Source organism: Homo sapiens, chromosome 21 (genome assembly GCF_000001405.40).
Source record: "Homo sapiens chromosome 21, GRCh38.p14 Primary Assembly".
Lineage (NCBI taxonomy): Eukaryota > Metazoa > Chordata > Mammalia > Primates > Hominidae > Homo > Homo sapiens.
Window position 1 is genome coordinate 43,831,062 of NC_000021.9, and position 20,251 is coordinate 43,851,312.

At 48.6% G+C, this 20,251-nt stretch overlaps 1 annotated feature.

Moving 5' to 3' along the window:
• Positions 18,949-19,495: an enhancer, noted in NCBI's record as "H3K27ac-H3K4me1 hESC enhancer chr21:45269891-45270437 (GRCh37/hg19 assembly coordinates)". NCBI's record gives its function as "activates a minimal SCP1, AML or CMV promoter by ChIP-STARR-seq in primed H9 embryonic stem cells {active_cell/tissue: H9 hESC(primed)}" and the evidence as "EXISTENCE:reporter gene assay evidence [ECO:0000049][PMID:30033119]".

Consider the following 20,251-nt stretch of genomic DNA (forward strand, 5'->3'; position numbering starts at 1 on the left):
AATCCCAGCACTTTGGGAGGCCGAGATGGAAGGACTGCTTGAGACCAAGAGGTTGTGACCAGCCTGGACAACAGAGGAGACCCTGTCTCTGCTAAAAATAAAAAATTAGCTGGGTGTGGTGGTGCATGCCTGCAGTTCCAGCTACTTAGGAGGCTGAGGTGGGAGGATCGCTTGAGCCCAGGAATTTGAGGCTGCAGTGAGTTATGACCGCACCACTGCACTCCAGCCTGGGCGACAGAGCGAGACCCTGTCTCAAAAAACAAACACAAAACAAACCCCAACAACCTTGGTCTGGAGGATCCATCCAGGTCAAAACGTGTGCAGGGTCCTGTGGAGGATCTGGGGGTTCACGCTGCCCTCATGTGAGGCCACGGTGTGGATCATCCCATGGGTGGGGACACCAAATGGACCGCTTGGTGGGGGTGGTGACCTTGAGAGCTCTCTTTTGTGAGGGTCCTTGGCAGTGAGCAAGTCGCCGGCTCAGCAGCACCACAGACGCGGCTTTCCCACACACCCCCAGGGTTTCGGCAGCCAGTGTTCACCCCTGCCTGAATCAGCCGTTCCCCGAGGGGGCTGGTGTCTGGAGACGTTCTCAGTCGGCTGTTCCTGCCACACTTCTTAGCTGACATTTTCTGTAAGGAGAAGCTGTTCCTCATTAACTAGAAAAGGCCGGTGACTGGTGATCACTTTCCTTTCAAAGCCAATCTTCAGAGGGAGGGATTCGCAGGATGTCATCTCTGGGTGACAAATGACATTTGCTTTCTTCCCCCTCGCTCTCTCTTTGGTGTCACTGTGGACTTACAGATATTTTCTTTTTTTTTTTGAGGTGGAGTCTCACTCTGTCGCCCAGGCTGGAGTGCAGTGGCGCAATCTCGGCTCACTGCAACCTTTGCCTTCCAGGTTCAAGAGATTATCCTGCCTCAGCCTCCCGAGTAGCTGAGATTACAGGCACCTGTCACCTCGCCTGGCTAATTTTTGTATTTTTATTAGAGATGGGGTTTCACCATGTTGGCCGGGCTGGTTTTGAACTCCTAACCTCAGATGATCCACCCACCTTGGCCTCCCAAAGTGCTGAGATTACAGGCTCGAGCCAGATTTTTATTTAGTACTAGTTTACGATCAAAATAATCGATTGCTCTTTTTAATGTTCCAAATGACCCACACTTGGCCAGTGGGAGCCCCTGGCGGCCCAGCTGTCCACCCTGCCGGACGTGGGTAAGTGTCCTCACCTCTGGCATGACCAGGTGCCAGGCACACTAGGACCTCAACTGCCCCACCCTGGAGCTAGCCCCTTCTCCGAAGAGAGTGTCCCACCAACCTGAGTGGCAGGGCGTGAAAGCATGGCCCTCCTGCAGGCACAGAACGCAGCCTCCCTCTGCCTCAAGCTGTCCTGTGTGGCCGTTTCCCTCTCTCTCATCGACCCTTCCAGGCCCAGGATTTTCGGGGGGCCTAGAGCGTACGCGCTTTCCATTTTTAAGGCTTCTTTTCCCATATGCTGCATGAGGTGCCCTCCTCGGACATCCAAGGCCCTGCCAAGGGTTTCCAACACGTGTCCATGACAAAACACCAGGTCCTTCTCCTCCCCTCACCCTGTGCCCCCACAAGTCCATCAGTAAGTCATGCTAGCCCCACCTGGACGATGTTTCCAGCATCTGACCTGCCCTCCAGGCTGCCCTCACCCAGGCCTGCATGCTCCCTGCGCCCCCATCCCCAGTGCACATGGCTCCCTGTAGCCCTGTGACTTTGCAGATAAGGCTATGTCTCTGAGTCCCTCGTCACCAATGAGGCAGCTGTGGGCAACGGGGAAGGCAGGCAACTTGGCCTCCCGAGCAGGTGACATGTGAGGTTGGCAGCAGCTCCCAGGGAGTCACCGCGGCAGGGACTCCCAAGGTTCCTGAGAGTGCTTGAGAGCTGTCACCTCGCTCCTGGCCTTCCTTAGGGTCCTGTCCAGCAGCTGCGAGAGGCTTTGAGCACCTGCGTCTGAACCCTTCTCCTCGGAACACCTGGAGTGGCTTCCACTCTCTGGGCCAGATCTGACTGATAGCCCCAGACAGCCCTTCCCTGCACAGGGTCAGGGGCAGTGGAGATGACCCCTTCCCGGGGCCTCCCTGTGACTGGCAGGAAATGTCAGCGACCACCGGCCACCTTCCCACTTGACTCATACCTTAGTTTTCCATCATGACTGTTTCAATGGTGATTTATAAATATCAGATGCCAGGTTGTTTTTTTTTCTTTTCGAGATGGAGTCTTGCTCTGTCGTCAGACTGGCGTGCAGTGGCACCATGTTGGCTCACTGCAACCTCCAACTCCCTGGTTCAAGCTATTCTCCTGCCTCAGCCTCCTGAGTAGCTGGGATTACAGGCACACGCCACCACGTCTAGCTAATTTTTGTATTTTTAGTAGAGATGGGGTTTCACCGTGTTGGCCAGGATGGTCTCGATCTCCTGACCTCGTGATCTGCCCGTCTCGGCTTCCCAAAGTGCTGGGATTACAGGCATGAGCCACCACGCCTGGCCAGATGCCAGATTGTTTTTTTAAAAAAGCGTGTGACAGTTCCTCAAAAGCTTAAACATATGAAACATGGAGTTGTCATGTGACACAGCAATTCCGCTCCTAGGACAGACCCAGAATACTGAAATCAGGGACTCAAAGAGATGCTTGCCCCAAGAGGCTTAGAGTGGCACTCACAATGCCAAAAGCTGGAATCAATCCAGGGTTCCTTGACAAACAAATGGGCAAACTTAGAGTGGCACCCGGCCTGCTGAACATATTTTGGCTCCTGTGCGGGCTGCATCTTTTGTCAGTGGGTGTCTATCACCCATATAATCTCTGGCACTGCACTCCAGCCTGGGCGATAGAGCAAGGCTCCATCTCAAAACAAACAAACAAACAAACAAACTAGAAAAGGTGCCAAAAAAGAAACAGTGCCAAGAAGAGGAAGGAGCGATGGAATTGCTGTGGTAGGCCCTTAGACACAAGTGATGGGCAGTGATCTTGTTTCAGGGTGGAACATGCTGCGTTGAAGATGTGCATTGTATCACTTGGCAGACAGGGAGAGGAGGGAAAGCAATTTGAGCTCAGCAAGCTCGTCCCCACCGTGGACACTGGCTGGGCTAGAGGAGAGGAGCCTGCAGAGGGCCCATTGGGTCTGGGGTTGGGGAGGTGTCTCTACTGGGTGCACCCCCCATTTCACTTCCTTCCTTCTGCCAGGCTGGGGGTCCACATACTGTGCTGATTTTCGAGGCCACCCTCAGCATTCCGTTCGGCGATAGGCCGAGATGTCTAAGCGGGCCAGCGCCTCCCCGCCCTGCAGAGGAGCCTGCGTACACCCAGGAACGCCCGTCACCTCCCCGCCCTGCAGGGGAGCCTGTGTACACCCAGGAGCACCCATCGCCTCGCAGCCTGCTTGGGGGCTGTCTGGTGCCATCGTCTACGGTGGCATTGGGTTCTTGGGGCACAGCAGGAGGGTCTCAGAGCTCAGAGCCTGTGTCTGCTGGGGCTGCGTCTCTCAAGGCGCCCATAGCGGTCAGCCCTTCCTGTTGCGGCTTCCATGTGGCCAGGCCGAGTCTCCAACGTCTCATTCAGAGGAGGGATTGGTGCAGCCGCCGCGCTCACAATCTTGCCCCTCAATGAGCAGCTTTGGTGAATCATCTCTGAAAAGACTGAATTTTGCTGAATTATTTAAAGCAAGCGCATCCATGAGAAGGAACTGCTTGCTGGGGCCTCAGGCCTCGCTGTGAGCTGTTCACCAGGAGGGAGCTGGCTGGGCAGGGGGTATGAAGGCCGCAGGTGTGAAGGTAGAGTCATTACCAGGCAGGGGCAGTGTGACCCAGCTGGGCAGAGAGCGCTGGCCTGTCTCAGAGGTGAGCTCACAGGTCTGGAAATGGTCTGAATAGAAAGGATTGGTCTCCGGAGGAAAGCATACTCTTCCTATTACCAGAACCCTGTGGGGTTTTTATTGATATTTCACTGGATTACAAATGTTGAAAATGTTGCAAAATGAACATCCTGGTAACTCAAGTATTTCATGGACCCTCACAAACCTCTGCGGACGCTGTTGGACTGGACCCCAAACCACAACGGGGCCCTGGTAGAGGAACTGCAGGAAAAGCAGGTTTCCTATAAGGAAAGACAAGAGGAAGCTCATTCTCCACACCCAGACCACTGGGCGTGGTGTTTGGGGAGCCCTTTGGGGAGCTGTAACGGGGCGTGGAGACCTTCTCCATTGCGCCCCCGACCAGGGCCGGGCCTGGCTGTGACTCCGGGGCGGGCAGTGATGCCATCTGTCTTCTGCAGAGGAGAACGCTGGGACCCCCTGGAGCACCTTTCAAGAACGACTCCAAAGCCGGATATTTGCAGTGGGAGGAGAGGAAGGGAGTGCCCGGCTGTGTCTTCTTCATCCCCCTGAACACAGGAGGGGGCAGCCTGGCTGAAGGCCTGACCCCTGGGGGGAAAGCGCACCTGGTGAAAAACTGTTCTCTGACTGATGTGATGATGAAAACGAATGGCAGGTCCTTCTCATACCGCAACGTGGAAAGAAGGCCCTGGAAGCGCCACTGCTTGGCTCCAGCGCCCCAGCTCATTCGGAGCAAGCTGTGGCCCACAGGGAGCCCCTGGAGGATCTGCTGGCTTCCTTAACGAAGCAATGCTCTGAGCGCCAGGGTGGGGACGGGGTCTCCCTCAGCATCTTCAGGAAGGAAACAAGCAGTGCCTTTCCCTGTGGGCCAAGTTCCAGGCCCTACCCCTCCCTGAAGGGCAAGGGGCATTGGGGGACAAGAGATGGACCTCCTGGGGACACATCCTTTCCCAGGCCAGCCTGAGCTCCAGAGTTTGATTTTATTAAGGGAGTCAGAAGGGGGCCCGTACAGACAGACCTTCGTGGGACCACTATGGCCCAGACACCATGGCCACAGTCCACCACCAAGAAGAGGGCAGGATCAGGAGGCACAGGGACTCAAGCCCTCCAGACGCAGCAGTCCCGGCCATCTCCTCACCCTGGTCCCTCACCCCAGCCCCACAGGATGACCATCACTGGCCACACACAGCTGAGGAGCTAGGACCCCACCTGGGCCAAACCCTGACGGGGGTGGCGGTCACCAGACATCAACATGAGAGGGAGATGGGGAGAGAGAGAAAGAGGCAGTGGGGAGGAGAGAGAGGATATCTTGGAATTTAATACTATTCAATGTTCAAAAACCAAGCATCAGGGATAGACACTTTCAGAATGTCAGAGTAGGGCCCCTCCAAATCTGTTTCTCCATAAAAGCAATGAGAATACTGGCAAAAATTATAAAAGTGAACTCTTTCAGAACTCTGGAAATTCACCAAAGGGTTGCAACCCTCTGAGGAGCATCTCTACTAAAAAATACAACAAATTAGCCAGGCGTGGTGGCGGGCACCTGTAGTCCCAGCTACTCCGGAGGCTGAGGCAGGAGAATGGTGTGAACCCGGGAGGCAGAGCTTAAGCCAAGATTGTGCCGCTGCACTCCAGCCTGGGCAACAGAGCGAGACTCCATCTCAAAACAAACAAACAAACAAACAAACAAAAAAACCGCTGAATCTCATTGGAACAATGAGTGTTGGGTCATTTTAGCTGTCACTGTTTCTATTCCCACTACCCCTGCAGTAGCCTTGAAAACCAGCATCCTCGTACCCACTGGCCGACTAGGGTGGGTTTGGAGCTCCCAGAAGCCCCATCCCCTGATAATTGTCACTATTTGACCCATCTGGCAGCGTCCTAGAAACACTCCCCCGCACCCCGCCCCACCACCACCCTTTGCAGGGCTTGTCTTTATTGACCTGACTCAGACCTTACTTACTAGGAACAGCTTTTTCCCTGGGATGATTGTTGAGAACCATCCGTGGAAACTGCTTAACATCATACCTGCCTAGCTGGTGTTACCAGTAGGGGCAAACAAGAAGACCAAAACCTTAAAAGGAAAAGCTGGGGAATGGGATGTCCACAGGGGGTCTGAAAGGCTGACATGTTCCTGGGAATCTAGAAATTAGAAATCACTAATAGAAGAAAATTTGGGAAATTCACAAATATGTGGAAGTAACATACTCCTGAATCACCAATGAATCAAAGAGGAAATCACAAAATAAATTAGAAAACACTTTGAGATGAATGAAAATAAAACCACAACATATCAAAATTTATGCAATACAGAAATGAAGTGGTTGGAGGAAAATTTATAGCTGTAAACACCTGCATTAATAAAGAAAAAGGAAAAACAGTGAGATACCACTACATGTCCATTAGAATGGGGAAAAGCCAAAGCACTGACAACACCAAATGCTGGTGAGGACGTGGGGCCACAGGAACGCCCATTCATTGCTGGTGGGAATGCAAAATGGTGCAGCCACTTGGGAAGACAGTTTGGCAGCTTCTTACAAAAGTAAACACGCTCTTTCCGTAGGACCCGGCAATCACACTCTTCAGTATTTACCCAAATGAGCTGAAAACTTATATCCACACAAAAACCTGCACACAGGACTGGATGTAGTGGCTCACACCTGTAATCTCAGCACATTGGGAGGCCAAGGTGGGAGGATCGCTTGAGCCCAGGAGTTCAAGACCAGTCTGGGCAACAAAATGAGATCCCATCTCTACAAAAATTTTTAAAAATTATCCAAGTGTGGTGACACACACCTGTAGTCCCAGCTACTCAGGAGGTTGAGGTGGGAGAATGGCTTGAGTCCAGGAGTTCAAGGCTACAGTGAGCTATGATCACACCACTGCATGCCAGCCTGGGTGACAGAGAAAGACCCTGTCTCAAAAAAAACAAAACCAAACCAAAAAACCAACCAACCAAAAACCTACACCTGGATATTTATAGCAGCTTTACTCATAATTTCCAAAATTTGGAAGCAACCAAGATGTCCTTCTGTATGTGAATGGATAAATAAACAGCGATGCATCCAGACAGTGGGCTATTATTCAGCACTAAGAAGAAATGAGTTGTCAACTGTGAAGAGATACGGAGGAACTTCAGATGTGTATTGCCAGGTGGAAGAAGCCAGCCTGAAAATCCTACCTACTGGGCGATTCTGTATGGGAGGAAAAACCTTATCTCTACCCTCTTGGGGTCTTCGGCTGAGTCTAAGAATCAAATTGACCTAAGTCAGGTTAACAGGAGAAAAGCAGGGCCGGGCGCAGTGGCTCATGCCTGTAATCCCAGCACTTTGGGAGGCTGAGGTGGGCAGATCACTTGAAGTCAGGAGTTCAAGACCAGCCTGGCCAATATGGTGACTCTCTGTCTCTACTAAAAATACAAAAATTAGCCAGGCATGGTGGCGGGCGCCTGTCGTCCCAGCAGGAGAATCACTTGAACCCGGGAGGCAAAGGTTGCAGTAAGCGGAGATTGCGCCACTGCACTCCAGCCTGGCGACAGAATGAGACTCCATCTCAAAAAAAAACCAAACCAAACCAAACCAAAACAAAAAAATTACAGGAGAAAAGCAGACAGATTTTGTTTTACAGGTACATGGAAGTCCCCACAAGAAGATGAAGACCCAAAGACATGGCCAGGCCTAAATGTCTGTAGATTAGGCTGAGCAAAGAGAGGAAATTGTGGAAAAGTCACTAAAATATGTGAGGCGACCAAAGGAAGACAAGAATTATTGTAACAAGATCTGTTTGTACAGATTTCTCTCTGCCTGGAATCCCCATCTCTGGTGATAAAAATGTTTCTTTCCTCCTGGTATAGGGAACTGGGCTCTCGTATGGGAATTTAATCTCCTACTTTCAGGAAGAAAAGCGGGGGGTCTAAGCGTACTTCTTGCAGCTACTTTTATTTTTAGTGCCTTTAGCTAAAATAATTCTTATGCCATAGTGGCAGGTTTTTGGCTGGTATATTCCCTTCAATTCTGACTATATGATGTCTGGAAAAGACAAAACTATGAAGACAGTAAAAAGATCAGTGTTTGCCGGGGTAGGGGGAAGGAGGGATGAGTAAGCAGAGCACAGGGGACTTTTAGGGCCATGAAACACTCTGCGTGACACTGTAATGATGGATCCACGCCAGGTGCATGTGTGAAAACCCACAGAATGTACACCACCAATAGGCTGGGCGCGGCGGCTCACGCCGGTAATCCCAGCTCTGTGGGAGGCTGGGCGGATCACCTGAGGTCAGGAGTTCGAGACCAGCCTGGCCAAGAGGGTGAAAACCCCATCTCTACTGAAAATACGAAAATTAATTAGGCATGGTTGTGGGCATCTGTAATCCCAGCCACTTGGAAGGCTGAGGCTGGAGAATCACTTGAACACGGGAGGTGGAGGTTGCAGTGAGCCGAGATCACACCACTGCACTCCAGCCTGGGTGACAGAGTGAGATTCCATCTCAAATAATAATAATAATAATAATAATAACAACAATGCTGCTAAGGACAGTAGTGTCGTGTATGAGTTTCTGTGGGAACACGTTTTCATTTCTTTTTTTTTGTTTTTTTTTGAGACGGAGTCTTGCTCTGTCGCCCAGGCTGGAGTGCAGTGGTGCAATCTCGGCTCACTGCAAGCTCTGCCTCCCGGGTTCATGCCATTCTCCTGCCTCAGCCTCCTGAGTAGCTGGGACTACAGGCGCCCGCCACCACGCCTGGCTAATTTTTTGTATTTTTAGTAGAGACGGGGTTTCACTGTGTTAGGATGGTCTCGATCTCCTGACCTCGTGATCCGCCCACCTCGGCCTTCCAAAGTGCTGGGATTACAGGCGTGAGCCACCGCGCCTGGCCCACACGTTTTCATTCTTTGGGGGCCTTACCGAGGAGTGGAACTGTTGGTCATACAGCACCTCTATGTTGAACTTTTGAAGAGGCTGCTGCCCTGCTTACGGACGTGGTTGTACCATGGTGCATTCCTATCAGCGTCCCCTTCAAGGCTCTCTGTTGCCTGCCTGTTTTACTATAACCGTCTGAGTGGGTGTGAAGTGATAATTCATGGTAGTTTTCATTTGCGTTTCCTTAAGGTTACTGGTGTTGAACGTTTTTTCATGTGCTAATCGGCCACTCGTAGATCTTCTTTGGAGAGATGTGTCTTCAACCTCTTTGCTCGTTTTTTATTCAGAATATTTGTCTTTTTATTTATTGTTAAGATAATATTCTGGATATCAGTCCCTTACTAGACGTATGATTTGCAAATATTTTCTTCATTACTATAGGTTGTCTTTTCAGATTTGTTTGTTTGTTTTTGTTTTTCCTTTTTAGAGACATGGTCTGTCTCTGTCACCCAGGCTGGAGTTCAGTGGCATGATCATAGCTCACTGCACCCTCAAACTCCTGGGCTCAACTGATCCTCCCACCTCAGCTTCCTGAGTAGCTGAGACTACAGGTGCATGCCACCATGCTGAGCTGATTTTAAATTTTTTTGTGTGGAGATGGGGTCTTGCTATGATGCCCAGGCTGGTCTTAAACTCTTGTCCTCAAGCCATCCTCCTGCCTCGGTCCCCCAAACTGCTGGAATTATAGGCATGAGCCAACATGCCCAGCTCTCTTCATTTTTTTTTTTTTTTTGAGACAGAGTTTTGCTTAAAGATCTTGGCTCACTGCACCCTCCACCTCCCAGGTTCAAGTGATTCTCCGGCCTCAGGCTCCCGAGTAGCTGGGATTATAGGTGCGTGCCACCATGCCCAACTAATTTTGTATTTTTAGTAGAGACGGGATTTCACCATGTTGGCCAGGCTGATCTCAAACTTCTGACCTCAGGTGATCCACCCACCTTGGCCTCCCAAACTGCTGGGATTACAGGCGTGAGCCACTGCGCCTGGCCTCTCTTCACTTTTTTGATGGTGTTCTTTGAAGCACAAAAGTTTAAACTTTTAAAAATTTACAAATCGGCCAGTCGCAGTGGCTCATGCCTGTAATCCCAGCACTTTAGGAGGCCGAGGTGGGAGAATCACTTTAGGCCATGAGTTCGAGACCAGTCTGGCCCACACAGCGAAAACCCATCTCTCCCAAAAATACAAAAATTAGCCAGGAGTGGTGGCGCGTGCCTGTAGTCCCAGCTATTCGGGAGGCTGAAGCAGGAGAATTGCTTGAACCCGGAAAGTGGAGGTTGCAGTGAGTCGAGGTCACGCCATTGCACTCCAGCCTGGGTCACAGAGTGAAAGTTTTAACTTTGATGGAGTCCAATCTGTCTATTTTTTTTCTTTGGTTGCGTGTGCTTTTGGTGTCATATCTAAGAAGCCATTGCCTAATCCAGCGTCACCGAGATTTATGCCTGTGTTTTCTTCTAAAAGTCTCATAGTTTTAGTCTTATACTTAGGTCTTTGATTTAAGCTAAATATTGTACATGGTGTGAGATAAGGGTCTAACTTTATTATTTTGGATGTGGCTATTAAGCTGTCCCAGCACCATCTGTTGAAAAGACTATTCTTTCCTGATTGAGTGTATTTATTTATTTATTTATTTATTTATATATTTTTGAGGCAGAGTCTTGTTCTGTTGCCCAGGCTGGAGTGCAGTGGCACGATCTTGGCTCACTGCAAGCTCCGCCTCCCTGGTTCACGCCATTCTCCTGCCTCAGCCTCCCGAGTAGCTGGGACTACACGTGCCCGCCACCATGCCTGGCTAATTTTTTGTATTTTCAGTAGAGACGGGGTTTCCCCTTGTTAGCCAGGATGGTCTCGATATCCTGACCTCGTGATCCACCCACCTCGGCCTCCCAAAGTGCTGGGATTACACGTGTGAGCCACCGCGCCCGCCCCAATTGAGTGTTTTTGGAATGCTGTTTTGAAAATCGATTGACCATGTATGTAAGGGTTTATTCTTGAACTCTTCATTCTACCTCATTGATCTCTATGTCCATCCTTATGCCCAGTCCCCCAACTTTCTTCTTTTTCAAGACTGGTTATTCTGGATCTTTTGTATTTTCATATAAAATTTAAGGCAAGCTTTTCAATTTTTTTTTTTTTTTTTTTTAAAAGCAGCTGGGATTTTGATAGGAATTGAGTTGAATCTGCAGATCAACCTGGAAAGTATTGCCATCTTAGTAAGTATTCCCATCAATACTTAGGAAAGTATTGCCATCAATAGTAAGTCTTCTGATCTATAAACATGGGATATGTTTCCATTGACTTAGGTCTTTAAAAATGTTCTTTCAGGCCGGGCATGTTGGCTCATGCCTGTAATCCCAGCACTTTAGGAGGCCGAGGTGAGCAGATCACTTGAGGTCAGGAGTTTGAGACCAGCCTGGCTAACATGGTGAAACCCCATCTCTACTAAAAATACAAAAAATAGCCAGGTGTGGTGGCAAATGCCTGTAATCCCAGCTACATGGAAGGCTGAGGCAGGAGAATTGCTTGAACCCGGGAGGTGGAATCTGCAGTGAGCCGAGATTGCGCCACTGCACTTCAGCCTGGGTGACAGAGCGAGACTTTGTCTCAGGAAAAAAAAAAAAAGTTCTTTCAGTTATATTTTGTAGTTTTCAGTGTGCAGATCTTGCACATCTTTTGTTAAATTTATTCCTAAGTATTTTAATCTTTGTGATGCTATTGTGAACGGTTTCCTTAATTTGACTTTCTGATTGTTCATTACTATTTGTAGAAATGCAACATATTTTTGTATATTGATTGTGTTTCCTGCAGCCTTGCTAAATTCATTTATTCATCCTAATATTTGTTGATTTTTTTTTGTGTGTGTGTGTGTGTGTGTGTGTGTGTGTGTGATCCTTATGATTTTCCATATATAAGACCATGTCATCTGTGAATAAAGATAGTGTTACTTCCTTTTTAATCCAGATGCCTTTTATTTCTTTTCCTTGCTTGGTTGTTCTGGTTTGTCTCTAGTAGAATGTTGAACAGAAGTGGTAACAACAGAGATCCTTGTCTTATTCCTAATCTTGAGGGGAAAGCATTTAGTCTTTCATTATTAAGTATGATGTTAGCTGGATTTCATAAGTACCCGTTTTCACTTCAGGTTCACTTTCAGTTTCAGGTTGAAGAAGCTTCCTTCTATTTCTAGTTTTTTTTTGTTTTACCATGAAAGGATGTTAAATTTTGTCAAATGCTTATTTATTTATTTATTTATTTATTTTTTAAGATGGAGTTTTGCTCTTGTTGCCCAGGCTGGAGTGCAATGGCGTGATCTCAGCTCACCGCAACCTCCACCTCCTGGGTTCAAATGATTCTCCTGCCTCAGCCTCTTGAGTAGCTGGGATTACAGGCATGCGCCACCATGCCCAGCTAATTTTTTGTATTTTTAATAGAGATGGGGTTTCTCCATGTTGATCAGGCTGGTCTCGAACTCCCAACCTCAGGCGATACGCCCACCTCGGCCTCCCAAAGTGCTGGGATTACAGGCGTGAGCCACCGTGCCCGGAATTTTTTTTTTTTTTTTGAGTCGGAGCCTCACTTTGTCGCCTCCTTCTGATGCCTGTAATCTCAGGCCCTGGAGTGCAGTGGTGCGATCTCGGCTCACTGTAGCCTCCACCTCCCGGGTTCAAGTGATTCTCGTGCATCAACCTCCCAAGTAGCTGGGATTACAGGCACGCACACCACCACGCCCAACTAATTTTTGTATTTTTAGTAGAGACAGGGTTTTGCCATGTTGGCCAGGCTGGTCTCCAACTTCTGGCCTCAAGCAATTCACCCACTTTGGCCTCCTAAAGTGGAGGGATTACAGGGGTAAGCCATCGCGCCTGGCCAATTTTTAAATTTTTGGGTAGAGACAGGGTCTCACTATGTTGCCAGGCTGTTCTTGAACTCCTGGGCTCAAGCGATCCTCCAGCATCAGCCTCCCAAAGCACCGGGATTACGCTGTGAACTGCCATGCCCAGCCCTGGATTTTCATATCTTGAGTCAACTTGGCATTCTTGGAATAAATCCCACTTAGTTGTGGTGTATAATTCTTTCTGTACTTTACTGGATCTGATTTGCTAGTGTTTTGTGGAGAATTTTTGTATCTATATTCATGACAGATGCTGGTTTGTATGTTTTTTTTTTTTTTTCTTTTTTCTTGTGATGTCTTTGCTTGGATTTAGCTTCGGGATAGAACTAGCCTCCTATAATGAGTTGGGAGTGTTCTCTAATTTTCTATTTTTTGGAAAAATTTGTGGAGGATTGGTATTAATTCTTTCTTAAGTGTTTGGTAGAAATTACCAATATAGTTATCTTGGCCTTGGTTTTTTTTTTTTTTGTATGTAGTTTTTAAAAAATATTACTAATTCAATTCCTTTACTTGTTACAAATCGATTAAGATTTTCTATTATTTCTTGAGTCAATGTGGTAGTTTGTATCTTTTTAGGAATTTGTCTATTTCATCTAAGTTATATAATTTGTTGGCATACAATTATTTATCTTATTTTCTTATAATACTTTTACTTCTGTAATGTCAGTAGTAGGCCGGGTATGGTGGCTCATGCCTGTAATCTCAGCACTTTGGGAGGCCAAGGAGGGCAGATCACCTGAGGTCAGGAGTTCGAGACCAGCCTGGCCAACATAGCAAAACCCCGTCTCCACTAAAAATACAAAAATTAGCTGGGTGTGGTGGCGCACACCTGTAATCCCAGCTACTTGGGAGGCCGAGGCAGGAGAATTACTTGAACCTGGGAGGCAGAGGTTGCAGTGAGCCAAGATGGCGCCATTGCACTCCAGCCTGGGCAACAGAGCGAGACTCCGTCTCAAAAAAAAAAAAGTCATTATCAATGTCCCCCCTTTGATTCCTTATTTTAGTAACATGAATCTTCTTTCTTTTATTCTTGGTTAGTCTTACTAAAGGTTTATCAATTTTGTTGATCTTTTCAAAGGACCAACTTTCAGTTTTGTTGATTTTCTCTTGTTTTTCTATTCTTTATTTCATTCATTTCCACACTAAATTTTAATATTTCCTTCCTTCCACTTTGGGTCTAGTTCGCTCTTTTATTCCCTTGTTTCTTAAGATGAAAGTTTATGGTTTTGCTTTGAGATCTTTCTTCTTTCACAAAAATACACTTTATTTTTTGGAGCAGTTTTAGGTTCACAGCAAAATTAAGTGAAAAGCACAGAGTTCTCATATGTCCCCTCCCTCCACACTGAGCCTTCCCCACCACCAACATCCCGACCCCCAACATTTCCACCAGAGGGCTTCCTTTGCCGTAGTGGTGAACCTGCACTGGCCCAGCACCATCGTTTTTTGTTGTTGTTGTTTGGAGATGGAGTCTCGCTCTGTCTCCCAGGCTGGAGTGCAATGGCACGATCTCAGCTCACTGCAACCTCTGCCTTCCAGGTTCAAGTGATTCTCCTGCCTCAGCCTCCTGAGTAGCTGGGATTACAGGCACAAGCCACCACACCCGGCTAATTTTTGTATTTTTAGTAGAGGCCGGGTTTCCTTCCCGAAGGATGCTAAAGAAAGACCCATCCTGCAGCTCTGTCCTTACAGAAGGACATCGAGGAATTACCCACTGGGGAGCTCTGTCCTTCCCGAAGGACGCTGAAGAATTAACCTCAGGTCTTCAAGAGGGAACCCGTCTAACAACCATCGAGGAACCAAGGCCTCCCAGCAACCACGTGCGTGAGCTTGGCATGCGTCCTCCCTGTTGGGGCCTTCAGGGGACAGCAGCCCTAGCCCAGCCAACAGCCTGATGCAGCCTCACAAGAGACCCTGAGCCAGGATCTCCCACCACGCAGCTCCCCCGCTCTTGACTCACAGAGACTGCGCTGACGACGTTTGCTGGTTTCAGCTTCTCAGTTTTGGAGTAATTTGTAACACAGCAATGGGTAATAAATACAGAGGGAGGAGAGAACACAGACCTGTGGAATTACCGTACACACTTTCTGAGGGTCCCTAAGCATCAGAGATATAAATCAAAGGCCTACCGTCCACTTTCACCCAATATGAAATTGCAGTAAAAAGTGGTATAAAGAGATAAAATGCACACATCTGCCACAGGGGTTCCGAGGACAAGCTGGTGGCCAGGGGAACCGGGGAGGGAGCCTGTGTTCCTAGCTCAGGAGTGTTTTTCGAGCACACATCTCTGAACTGGATTCTGAAACATGGTGGGATGTTGAGATGCAGATGGAAAGTCTTTCCAAATGCCAAGGTCACCACAAGCCAAGGCCAACCAAGGATCAGATTGGGTATATTCTTAAGAATGGGCTGGGCGCAGTGGCTCACGCCTGTAATCCCAATGCTTTGGGGGGCCAAGGCGGGTGGATCACTTGAGTCCAGGAGTTTGAGACCAGCCTGGACAATATGGTGAAATCCCATCTCCACTAAAAATACAAAAAAATTAGTTGGATGTGGTGGCATGGCTGTAATCCCAGCTACCCAAGAGGCTGAGGTGGGAGGATCACCTAAGCTAGGGAAATAGAGGCTATAGTGAGCCGTGATTGTGCCACCGTACTCCAACCTGGGCGACAGGAGTAAAACCCTGTCTCAAAAAAAAAAAAAAAATGGCTGGTAATTTAACAAAGACATGTGCCCACTCTCTTTAAGCATTGTTTCAGCAGCCTCAACCTCCCTCGCTTAAGAGATCTTCCCAGCTCAGCCTCCTGAGAGTAGTTGGAACTATAGGCCCGGACCACCATGTCCAGCTAATTTTTTAAGTTTTTTATAGAGATGGGGTCTCGCTATGTTGCCCAGGCTGATCTTGAACTCCTGGCCTCACGTGATTCTCCTGTCTTGGCCACATCGTCGGGATTACAGGTGTGAGTCACTGCATATGGTTGGGCTAAGCCATGTTTCTTAAACTTAATTGTTTCTTTGCCACCTTTATTAATATTTTTTCTTTTGCTAGGCCCATTTTAAAGTTAAGGAATGCTTTTTAATACAAGTATCCTATATATCTTAATTTGTTTAATTTTTAAGTTGATGGGCTAGCTTTTTAAAATGTTAGTTTTGCCCTAAAGAATAATATCCATCTAACCATTCATATTTGTTCCAATAAAGATAAAATGAACCTGCCTGACGCGGTGGCACTCACCTGTAATCCAAGAGCTTTGGGAGGCCGAGGCGGGTGGATCACCTGAGGTCAGGAGTTCGAGACCAGCCTGGCCAACATGGAGAAACCCTGTCTCTACTAAAAATACAAAAATTAGCCAGGTGTGGTGGTGCACAACTATAGTCCCAGCTGCTTGGGAGGCTGAGGCAGGAGAATTGCTTGAGCCCGAGAGGCGGAGGTTGCAGTGAGCGGAGATCGCACCATTGCACTCCAGCCTGGCGGACAGAGACAGACTCCATCTCAAAATAAATAAATAAGTAAATAAATAAATATTTTAAAAGCCTGCAGATTTCAGTCCTAAACTCTCTGCCCAAGCAGTTTGACTCAGAGGGAAAATGTCGCCTCTGTTATGTTCTCTCACATTGCACGGCTTGGGCTTCCATCTGGTTCGGTTGTGTGGTCAGGAACGTACAAGTCAGTCTCTGCCGCTGTTTTCTTTCCCACCTGCAAGTTGAGAGTGCTGAGACTGCCCTCTTAGCCTTGGGGTATTAAAGAGACCAGACAGGGAAGGGGCCCAGCGCAGCGCCCAGGACAGAACATGTGCTCGGCACTTAACCGCTGCTGCTACCAGCGGGATCGTCCTTGAGAGCGGTAGAATCCAATTTAGGGACAGGATTAGACAGAGTGTGGGCTTTGACTTGCACCCTCTACAAGAGTGTGGGGAGGGGACAGAGGCCAGATGGCCCCAGGCAGGGACGATGTGGCAGCATTGCTGTGTCCCCGTGGCCTGGTCCTGCATTTGCCGCCCGCGTCCTCTCTGCCTGAATCCTGTTCCTAGTGCCTGGTCGTCCCTCAGAGCTCTGCTGCGTTCCACCTGTTCACCAGACATCCTGGGCTCCAGTTTCCATCTGCCCTTGTGCTGCTCTGTCATGGCATTTTGTATCCTTTTATGATAGTCTTGACGACTGTGCACGTACCCGACAGGGCTCGGCCCTCTGGGGGGGTAGACGGACGCCACACTGAATCCATCTCTTGCCCGAGATGGTAGGATCCTGTCTAAAGCTGATGAGGAGGTTGGGGGTGGGAAGAACATGGCTGGAAGAGCGTCCGGAGCCCACCCCTGTTATGGAGCGATAGAAGCCCCCCCTTTCTGTGGCCCCCACCCCACCTTTATCCTCTCTAATGCAAAACTGTAAAGCAGTTAGGGTAATTTAGTCCAGCAGGTTCTGAAGTCTCACCCAGTTAGATGCTCCCTACAGTGTATTCCGTAAAATCACAATTCTCAGGGCCATGATTCAAGCAGCCGCCCAGTGGAGTTGGGCTAAACAGACACCTCTGGTTTCATTATTTATTTATTTATTTATTTATTTATTTATTTATTTATAGACGGTGTCTCGCTCTGTTGCCCAGGCTGGAGTGCAGTGGCATGATCTCGGCTCTCTGTAACCTCCTTCTCCCAGGCTCAAGAGATTCTCCTGCCTCAGCCTCCCGAGTAGCTGGGATTACAGGCATGCACCACGCCCAGCTAGTTTTTGTATTTTTAGTAGAGACAGGGTTTCACCATGTTGGCCAGGCTGGTCTTGAACTCCTGACCTCAAGTGATCTGCCTACCTCAGCCTCCCAGAGTACTGGGATTACAGGTGTGAGCCACCACACCTGGCTCATTTCTTTTTACATCAACACTGAGGCAACTTGAAATACATCCATTCATCTCAGCTGTAAAATAGCGGAATATTTCTTTATTCCTGGGAACATAAGGTATTAGTTGTATCTTCATCAGCAATTTTGGAAGGAGGGCATGTTGAGGCCTCTGTCAGTGTGAGCTGGCAGAGACAGGGCAATTAGTTGATGTAGCAGTTACCTATGGCTGTGTAACAAACCACCCCAAAACCGAATGGCTTAGAGGAACCATTATTTAGCTCATGATTCTATGGGCTACAGGTGTGAGGCACGGCACCTCGCCCTGCATTCTAGCGGGATCAGCTGGGCTCCGCTAGGCAGTTCTTCCTCTGGTTTTGTCTGAAGTCAGCTGGAGGCCGGTGGCCTCACTCTCGTGCCCGGTGGCTGGCTGGCAGTCACCTGGTCACAGGGTAGGCTGTGCCTCTCGTCACCCAGCAGGTTAGCCTAGGCTTGTTCACAGGGCGGGATAACAGGGTTTCCAGGACTAGCAAGAAAACAAGCCCCAATATGCAAGTGCTTTTAAAGCTACTTCTTTCTTTTTAAAAACAATTTATGTACTTATTTATTTATTATTATTTTATTTTTGAGATAGAGTTTCGCTCTTGTTGCCCAGGCTGGAGTGCAATGGCGCAATCTCAGCTCACTGCAACCTCTGCTTCCTGGGTTCAAGCGATTCTCCTGCCTCAGCCTCTGGAGTAGCTGGGATTACAGGCGCCTATGGTTATTTCTTGATCATGTACTAAACAAGGAGTGGATTATTCACACGTTTTCCAGGGAAAAGGGCAGGCAACGCTGGAACTGAGGGTTCCTCTTCCTTTCAGACCATGTAGGGTAACCTCTGGACCTTGCTGTGGCATTTGTAAACTGTCATGGTGCTGGTGGGAGTGTCTTTCATTATAATATATTAGTGTCTAATGTATTATAATTAGTGTATAATGAGCAATGGGGATGACTGGAGGTGACTTTCATTGCCATCTTGGTTTTGATGGGTTTTGGCGGGTGCCTTTAGTGTATCCTGTTTTATCAGCAGGGTCTTTGTGACCTGTGTCTTGTGATACCAGTCCTGTTGACCTCCTATCTCGTCCTGTGGCTAAGAATGCCTGGCCTCCTGGGAATGCAGCAGCCCAGCAGGTCTCAGCCTCGTTTTACCCAGCCCCGATTCAAGATGGAGTTGCTCTGGTTCAAATGCCTCTGACAGTAGGAGGAGCTGAAGATTATTGGGGCTATTAGTGCAATGGACCATAGCTGGGAAATGGCAGGGCCGGGGGGCTGTGGAGCTGACATCTGAGTGTGGGGTGCAGTTATCTGGAAGGCTGCTTTTGAGGAAAGGTGTTAGGAGTGCCCCCACTAGGACACCTGATGGGGACGAGACCACAGGAGGATGGCAGGAACACGGCTGCAGGAGCTTCAGCCAAGGAGGGAACAGGAACTCCAGCAGGCGCTGGAGCCCTGTGCCCTGTCCAGCATCCTGGAACAGGCGTAGCAAGGAAGGAAGGGTGTGGCAGGGGTTGAGGTGCCGCCCAGCGCACCAGGGTTTGGAAGGGCACGCCCGCCTGTTTGGGAGCAGACACTTCAGAGGCACTCAATAAACACTAGTCCCTGTTTTATTGACTAATGATAGTCAATGTGAAAGGAAAATAAGCCTTGGGACCCCAAAATTACTAAGTTATTTATACTGAAGGGAAAAATCAAGCAGGGAACTGCTTAGGGCCAACCTGCCTCCCATTCTATTCAAAGTCATCCCTCCGCTCACTGAGATAAATGCATATCTGATTGCTTCCTTTGGAAGGCTGATCAGAAACTCAAAAGAATGCAACCATTGGCTGGCGCGGTGGCTCACGCCTGTAATCCCAGCACTTTGGGAGGCCGAGGCAGGCGGATCACTTGAGGTCAGGAGTTCGAGACCAGCCTGGCCAACATGGTGAAACCCCATCTCTACTAAAAATACAAAAATTAGTCGGGTGTGATGGCTCACACCTGTAATCCCAGCTACTCAGGAGGCTGAGGCAGGAGAATCACTTGAACCCAGGAGGCAGAAGTTGCAGTAAGCTGAGACCACACCACTGTACTCCACCCTGGGTAACAGAGGGAGACTGCCTCAAAAAATAAATAAATAAATAACCAGAATGCAACCATTGGTCTCTTATCTACTATGACCTGGAAGACTCTTCCCCACTTCAAGTTGCCCTCTTTCCAGACCAAACCAATGTCCTCTGTATTAGTCCATTTTCACATTGCTATGAAGACATCATACCCAAGACTGGGTCATTTAGAAAGAAAAGAGATTTAATTGACTCATAGTTTTGCAGCGCTGGGGAGCTCTCAGGAAACTTACAAATTGTGGTAGAAGGGGAAGTGGCATGTCTTACATGGTGGCAGGCGAGAGAGTGGTGAGTGAAGGGGGAAAAGCCCTTGATAAAACTATCAGATCTCATGAGAACCCCCCTCACTATCACAAGGACAGCAGGGTGGAACCCCGGGACCCAGTCACCTCCCACCAGGTCTCGACCTAAACGTGTGGGGATGTGGGGATTGCCATTCAAGATGAGATTTGGGTGGGGACACAAAGCCAAACCATTCGAGATGAGATTTGGGTGGGGACACAAAGCTCAACCCTATCAACATCTTACATATATTGATCGATGTCTCGTGCCTCCCTAAAATGTATAAAACCAAGCTGTGTGCTGAGCACCTTGGGCAGAGGTCGCCAGGCCCTCCTGA